Source organism: Homo sapiens, chromosome X (assembly GCF_000001405.40).
Source record: "Homo sapiens chromosome X, GRCh38.p14 Primary Assembly".
In the NCBI taxonomy this organism is placed as follows: domain Eukaryota; kingdom Metazoa; phylum Chordata; class Mammalia; order Primates; family Hominidae; genus Homo; species Homo sapiens.
This window is the reverse complement of record NC_000023.11, coordinates 126,216,488-126,225,268: the sequence shown is the minus strand read 5'-3', so window position 1 is coordinate 126,225,268 and position 8,781 is coordinate 126,216,488. Positions and strand designations below refer to the sequence as shown.

General features: G+C 35.1%; 1 long non-coding RNA gene across 1 annotated transcript in view; it reads left to right on the top strand.

Moving 5' to 3' along the window:
• The first annotated feature begins 263 nt into the window (after positions 1–263).
• Positions 264–8,781, top strand: part of LOC107985648 (uncharacterized) — a 29,376-nt gene continuing 20,858 nt past the window's right edge. The window contains exon 1 of the long non-coding RNA XR_001755994.3: positions 264–361. This is a non-coding gene — a long non-coding RNA (uncharacterized LOC107985648). The remainder of the gene's footprint in view (positions 362–8,781) is intronic.

The window sequence follows — 8,781 nt, the reverse complement described above, 5'->3', positions numbered from 1 at the left end:
TACGTTAAACACCTAATCTTGTGCCACTTTCTCCCTTATTCACTACACAGCAGCCACAGCCACGCTAGCATTTTAAAATTTTCTCTAATATACCAACCTAGGCCTTTGTCTATGATATTTAATATGTTAATATATGTAAAGCCCTTAGCGCAGAATCTAACTTGTAGTGAGATCCCAATAAATAACTTCTGTATTTTATTATTTATTTATTAATAGTTAATAATCATAAAATCTTATGAAGTAAGTCTTATTCCATTTTATAGGAAAACTACTACACAGAGAGAGCAAGTAACTTCAAAGATGGCATAGCTGATAGATGGTAAAATGGTGGGGCTGGAATACAACCCAAGAAGACTACTAAGTAAGTAATATATTAATTCCTTTTTGTAGACAAAGACTCTACAAAGCCAACTCTTAAGTAATAGCTGTAATCAGGTGTATCTGATTCTAGAAGTTAGGTTTCTTAATGAAAAAGGAGATGATGAACAATATTTATTAGCCAGAAAATTCTGTGTGACCACTAGCACTGTTGCACAAATGTATTTTAGATAAGGGGAAAGTTTGATAACCTATAACAGCTGTGTAATAACTCTGAGGCTAAATAAAGGGAAAATTGGTGGAATGTACCTAAAGTAAACTGGGCCTTGGTGAGGAGGAAGAGGGAATTGCTTTTAATAGCTTCCATACAACATTCCCATCTCTACTCATGATTCTTTCGGAGGTCTGAAAGTGGAAATGATATTTTGTGGTTGGAAGAAGAATTAAGGAGAGTGTAGGCATGCTGCTAATCAGTTTATCTCTGCCTTTATAATCTATAATTCTCAATGAAGATTACTAAGTTCAAATCAGTCGGCTCACCATTTGGAAATCAGAAATAACATGGTCATCGCTTGTCATTCTGGAAATTTATAGATGGCTGCTTTCACATTGCCCCTGCCTTCGCCTAAATTGTGCTAAAATTACTGTGGATCTTATCAAAAAGTTGTGGATTTACGTAGCACATCTCTGCATCATCAATATAAACACACACACACACACATAAAACAAAGTGATGTTTAAAGTTATCCCAATATTTAGGCTTCTATAACAAAATAGCATAAAGTGGGTGGATTATAAACAACAGAATTTTATTTTTCACTGTTCTGGGGAGTCTGGAAGCTCAAGATCATGATGTCACAATGACTAGGTTCTGGCGAGGTCAGTCTTCCAGTTTTGAAGATGGCTATCTTCTCATTTTATCCTCACATGGAAAAAGTGGTGAGGAACTTCTTCAGTCCTTTATGTAAGGGCATTAATCCCATTCATCCTATGACCCAATCACTTCCTAAGGCATTACCTTCTAATACCATCATAACATAACCACATAGGGGTTGGGATTTCAACATGTCAATCTGGAGGGAAGACAAACATTCAGTCTATTGCAGGAACATTATTTTAAAAATACAGAAAGTACTAGGGGGTGTATTTTAATGACGTTGACGCTTATTCCTGGAAAGCCACTGGAGGGTTTTGAGCAGCACATTCACATTATGTGACTTACATTTTGAGTGGACCACTAATGAGTCCTCTCTGGAGAAGGTTAGGTGGAAGCAGAGGGACTAGTTAGGAGGCTATTGCAATAATCTATATGCTGAAAGATTGTGGCTTGGACTAAGATGATGGCAGTGGAGGCAGTGAGAGTTCTTTGATTCTGGATATATAATTTTATTCTATGTTTTAGAAATATGGAACTCTAAAGAGTTATTGGAAAAAATATCCACATAGCATTCACTAGGAACTCATTATTAAAAAATTCAATTTATTGTCATTGTTATTCTTTTTTTATGCCCAAATTATCTCAACTGTAACCTGTGGGAACCACCTCAAACTGGCTCCTATGTCCATTTGGCACGACACCCTTAGGTTTTCAGTACTTACTTTTGGTTACAAGGTTTTTATTTTGTTTGTCTTGTTTTGTTTTTTGTTTTTCCCAAAAAAGAAACAGAAAGGATAAACCAGAAACCAATTAAAATGGTAACCTATAGGATTAGGGTGAAGAGTGGAGGAATGGAAAGGAAAATTTTCTGAGTATAAAAGTTTTGATTTTTGCACCATATAAATTTTTTAATTCAAGCAATAAAATAAATCAAGAAGATTAATAAATGAGACTCTAAAATTAAAAACAAAACCAAAGGTCATAACAGTTCTCAAGTAAATAACTTAAGCATATGGAGAAAAAAAAACTGAATTCAAGTAACATTTGAAATTGTACTCTGGCAAGGATATAGTCTAAATACACATAAAACAGAAAGAAATCTTGAACTTTACTCGTCATGTTTGTCTTTTGGAACTCATATTGGCTTCATATTCTGAAATTGTATATTCTAGGATAGAATAAATATGAATATTATTTGAAGGCAGGGTTCTCACAGTGGAATAAAGGAAATACAAATATTGAATGGGGGCAGGTTAGGAAGAACCCTGTGGTAGCTTTAGCACTGACCACTGAAGAAGTCTAATATCAATGACACCCCAGTAGCAATCAGTATATCTAGTAACAAGATCTTAGTGCCTAACATATTCTCCACTAAAAGGAAGCAGGATTTCCTGAAGAAATGTTTGGATCCAGGTTTGAGGCAGAGAAACTATACGGTTCTGGATATGTTTTGAAGCTTGAGTTCACTAGATTTACAGAAAGTTTAGTTTGGAGGAGGTAAAAAAAAAGTCAATAATGACTTCAGGTTTGGGCATTTACTGAGTTTAAGGAACACTGCAAGAGGAGCATATTGGGTTGGGGAATACAAACATTTAGTTTGGTCACATTAATATTATATGCCAATTATATCTTCATGTATGCATGATGTGTGGGAAATTAAATTCCGTCATGCATCACATAACAATGTTTCCATAAATGAAGGACCACAAATATGGTGGTGGTTCCATAAGATCGTAATGGAACTGAAAAATTCTTATAGCCCAGTAATGTGGAAACCATCATAAATATCATAGCACAACACATGACTCATGTGTTTGTGGTGATGCTGGTGTAGACAAACCTAATGCATTGCCAGTCATATAAAAGTACAGCACATACAGGCCAGGTGCAGTGCATCACACCTGTAATCCCAGCACTTTGGAAGGCTGAGTTGGGCGGATCACCTGAGGTCAGGAGTTTGAGACCAGGCTGGCCAACATGGTGAAACCCCGTCTCTACTAAAAATACAAAAATTAGTTGAGCGTGGTGGTGGGTGCCTGTAATCCCAGCTACTTGGGAGGCTGAGGCAGTAGAATCACTTGAACCCAGGAGGCGGAGGTTGCAGTGAGCCAAGATCGTGCCATTGCACTCTAGCCTGGGCAAAAACAGTGAAACTCTGTCTCAAAAATAAAATAAAAATGTGTAGCACATATGATTATGTATAGTACACAATACTTGATAATGGTAATAAAAAGCGATGTTATTGGTGTATCTATTTGCTATACTTTTTATCATTACATTAGAGTGTACTCCTTCTAATTATATGAAAAAAAAATTGACTGTAAAACAGCCACAGGTGGGTCCTTCAGAAGATATTCCAGAAGAAGGCACTGTTATGAGAGATAATAGCTCCACGTGTTATTGCCCCTGAAGACTTTCCAGTAGGATAAGATGTGGAGGTAGCAGATAGTGATATTGACCATCTTGACCTTGGGTAGGCCTAGGCTAATACATGTGTTTGTGTCTTAGTTTTTAACCAAAATGTTTAAAAAATAAAAAATATAGAAAATTTTAAAAATAGAAAAGAGCCTGTTGAAAAGGGATATAAACAGAGAATACTTCTGTATAACTGTACAGTGTTTTGTGGTTTAAGTGTTATTACTGAAGAGTCAGAAAGTTAAAAACAAGTTGAAGGTTTGTAAAGTAAAAAAGTTACCTTAAGATAAGGTTAATTTATCGTGGAATAAAGAAAAAATATATTTTCATAAGTTTAATACAGCCTAAGTATATAGTGTTTACAAAGTGTACAGTAGTGCACAGTAATGTCTTGGGACTGCACATTCCCTTACCACTCACTCACTGACACCCAGAGCAACTTCCAGCCCTGTGTGCTCAATTCATAGAAAGGGCCCTATGTAGCTTTAATGTTTTTGATATTTTACACTCTAATTTTACTGTACCTTTTCTATGTTTAGATATATAAATACTCACCTTTGTGTTACAATTACCTCCCATATTCAGTATAGTAACATGCTGTACAGATTTGTAGCCTAAGAGCAATAGGCTATACCATATAGCCTAGCTGTGTAGTAGGCTACACTATCTAGTTTTGTGTAAGTACACTTTATGAGGTTCACACAAAGACAAAATAACTTAATGCATTTCTCAAAATATATCCTTGTCATAAAATGACACATGACTGTATGTGAGTTCAGGTAACAAATGGGAGTTGATATATAAATTTTGAAATTATCCACATATATATGGTATTTAAATTCTTGCAACTGAATAAAGTCATCTAAGTAATGAGTTTAAATGGAGAAAAGAAGATTGAGAATTGAGCCCTGGGATACTCTAATAGCCAAGGTTTAGAAAGAGAATGAGTGCCTAGCTCAGGAGGAAGAGGAATAGCCATTAAAGTAAGTGCAAATCCAGGAAACAGTATTTCTCAGAAACCAAGAGAAGAAAGTCTTTCAAAAAAAAAAAAAAGCTTGTTTCTTCTCTCATCTCCATTTTCTTCTTATTGATTGTTTTTGGTCTAATATGCATTTTCCATGTTTTAAAAGTGTTCTCTTATAGTTTTCGTTGTTATCTTTTTGCAATGTATTTCAATAGAATCCTTTTCTATAGTCTTCTAAATCATAAAATTTTGTAGTTAGGTATGCCAATTCTACCATTTCAGCCCTTCCTACTGATTTATTTAAAATACCAGCTATCATGTTTTAATCTCCCATAATTAGAGCTTTCTGCTTGTTTCTTTATCGTAGAAGCCAATTTTTGTTTTTAAAGTCACAATGCCCTCTTGACTTTAAGTATAGATGAAATGGTTCTATAAGTTCTCATAAGTTAGAAAACAAATTACTGGGGAACCATTAATGTGTTTTGCTTAGGGACTGATTTCACTGATCAATGTATGCTTTCCATTGTGTTCCTTCAAAAGTCTAATGAATCTTGGTTTTCTGAAAATTTTCACAAATGAGGGCCTTATTAATCAGAATTAGGAGGTGGGGTGAGTTTTTCTAGTATTTTTGATATTAATTCTTTCACTGGTAGTGAATTGGACTGATGCTAAAGGAATAGACAGCTGTGCAGGCCTTTAGTGTGCCAAAGACCTTGCCCCAAGGGTATCATGTTTCTGTGCCCATGGTGACATATTCTGTAGGTAAGATACCCTATTTTAAAATTAATTATCCCTTTGGCCATCCCCATCAGCTACCTATCTATGCCTAATCTCTTACGTTTCTAATGTTGGGGTTTCTCCATGATTTCATGTGAAAACTCAGTTTCCTTCAGTGTCTTTTTCCACCTGTATTGCACTGTGGTTTCTCAGTCCTGTGGGTTTTCATGTCATACTGGTCTCATTTACATGATAATATGTAGATATTTCTCATAGTTCCTGACTCACTAATGTCACCTACTCAATTTTCCAAGATTGTTACTGATCTATACATATTTTTTTCTATTTATGCTATCATTTTGGTGAGATTTGGGTATATAGAATATTTAGCTACCATTTTAATAATAATAGCTAACACTTATTGAGTACCACTCTCCACGTATATTCCTAGGAGGGGAGTTCATTAAATCTCCTACAACTGTACACTGTAATAGTAACAACTGACCCTTATATAGTGCTCTCTATTTTCCAGATGATGTTATAAGTATGTGACATATACTAACTCATTTAATCTTGGCACAATCCTAGGAATTAGGTACTAATATTTTCCACATTTAAAAAATGAGCATGTATCTAAACAGATACATTTTATTCATTTATAAATTATATGCATGTACTAGTATACTAATTATTAAGTGCATCATAAAACCCAACAAAAATATTAATCAAAAGAGGGGAATACAAAAATTAAAGATAAATTCTAATATTTTATTCCCACACTTTGATGGATCTTCTTGACTAGGACTTCAAATGCCTACAAACCACTTTAGAGACTATTTCTGTTAGAAGACGTTCAGTTTTTTACCAGACTGTGGCCCTAGAAAGGCACTGAGGCAAAACAATTGTAATTTGCATCTCTCAGGTCTTCTAAAATAGGTTGTATACTGGAATTGTTCTTCACAGGATTTGTTTCCTTTTGTCTTACCTTGTCAATCTCCAAAAAATATACGGATATTTTTATGTGAAATATTTAGGTTAGTCTTCCATGTTAACTATTCTGAATGGGTTAACAACTACTTCTGTGTTTGAATTCTGGAGGGTTCTCTAAGAAAACTATACTAATTATATTATTTCTACCTATTCTACCTCCATATCTATAGAGCATATATTTTCTCACAGGGCTCAGTAATTGGTTGAGTATATTAATTAGTCAAGAACTAATGGCTTAGTGGCTACCAAAGGCATCTTATCCACTGGTCACATTTAAAAAGTATCTGTCAATCAGATACTTATTCCAAGAAGACAAACACAGTGCCAGGATGGCTGCCAAGATGAACAAATATTTCATAGATGTCACTGGCTTGCTGACTGGCTGCCTGCCTGCTTTCCCCTTGGATTCGTTATTCACCTAGGAAGTTTTTTCAAAAATCCATCAGACAGAGCTAAACAGACCTAAGTTGTAACTACTAAAATGTGTAGAACTACTGGACATGTTTAATGCTGCCACAGGTTTCCAGCTATGTACAGAGAAACTTTTGTTTGTGTGTTGTTCTCTAAAATCAAAACTGTGAGAATATGTTTACATTTTTATTATAGAAGTAGAAAATAAATACATCAACCTCTGGGAAAGAATGTAAAATATTTCTTAAAATTATTATGGTGCATATATATATGTTAATATTAACATGTCAGTGGTACAAATACAGGACATCTAATAAAAAAAAGTATACAGAAAAGTGGGTGAAGATTAAAAACAAATTAATCATTATTTTTGCTTACTGGCAATCAGTTCTTAAATTCAATTCTTCTTGTTCCCTCGAGCCAAAAACAACTCCAAGTGCAGGAAGCTAAAGATTTGACTGTTTTCTTGGTTTTTCTGAAGCTGTAATTTTTTTTCTGGGCCAGAACTACCACTAAGAATCATTGAATAAAAACATGGAAAATTAACCATCATAACCAGCCTGTCCACTAAGCTACTCTTCCCTTGGTTCCTTGACTGCTCTTCAGTGGTTTATTAGTTTGCTAGCCTTGCTATAACAAAGTATGACAAGACTATGTGGCTTATAAAGACAGAAGTTTACTATTTTGTAAATCTGGAGGCTAGAAGTTTGAAATCAACGTGTCAGTAGAACCATGCTTCTTCTAAATTCTGTAGACAAAGGATCCTCCTTTCTTCTTCCAGCTTCTGGTAGCCCCAGACTTCCCTTGGCTAGTGGCAGCATAATTTCAACCTTTGCCTTCATCGTCACATGACATTCTCCCTGCACCTCTTCACATCATCTTTCCTCTACTCATGCCTGTGTCCAAATTTCCTTTTATTTTTTTTAAATAAGGACGTCAGTAATATTGGAGTAAGACCCACCCTAATTACCTCATTTTAACTTGATTGGCTCTGTAAAGACTCTATATTTAAATAAGGTCACATTCTGAGGTACTAGAGGTTAGACTTCAACATATTTCTTTTGTTTGAGGGGGGACACAATTCAACCCATAATAAATGGTATGATCCTGTCCTCTTCACCATCCTAGCCACCCTTATCAAATGATCCTCCTAGAGCATGGTGTCTCTGTGACTGAACAAGCCACTTTAAGTGAAGTCCAACTCATGCAGAAGACAGTGGACTGATACCTCTTATCTTTACTTTGGACACTAAATATTCCTCAGTAGAACCAAGAGTGGCACTGAATTTTCTCTTTATCAGTTTATGGTCTTGAACCCCAGGCCTTTTGCACAGACTTTACTGTAAAGCCAGGTCACCCCCAAGCAAAATACATAATGTTGAATATTTTAATATAAACATATGATTTTACCTTTTACCTGCCAAATTCCCTTTTATTACTACTTTTTAGTCTTCAATTTTTAGTCCATCACTCTAGCCCCTGAAATTATATGCAAATATTTTGCATATAAAAGTATGTGCTTTCGTCTCCTAATCAGAGAGGCTAGAGATTTGTAAATGTTGACTCTATGGTCTAACATCTAGTTACCACTCCAGCTTTGTATAACCTGCAGATTAGATAACCTGGAAATTTTGTGCTTATTTACATTATTGATACAAATGTTGATCAGGATAGGTCCAAATCCAGAACCAGACAACATATCAGGAGATCTCCCCATAGATCGCCACTGATCCCTTGATCAGCAATTTTGAGGAGCAGTACAAATTCATCTTACTCTATTATTACCCATTTATCACTGTATCCATCCCACAAACATCTATAAAGCATCTATATGTTCCATTCACTGTGTTACCTGTTTTGGACCTCCTTATTGTAAGAAAAAACAAAAGTAGCATGGTAACTATGAACAAAATATTGTAAAATACAGCAAGGAAGCAGCTTTTAATATGTGAAGAGAGGGTAAGATAAACAAAAACTAAGACTGGGGAGACGGTCAAGAGCCAGATATTTGTTAGTATTACAGACAGCAAACTTGTTAAAAATAATCTACATTTCTTGCCTCATTATATTCGCCACATTATAGCTTCTT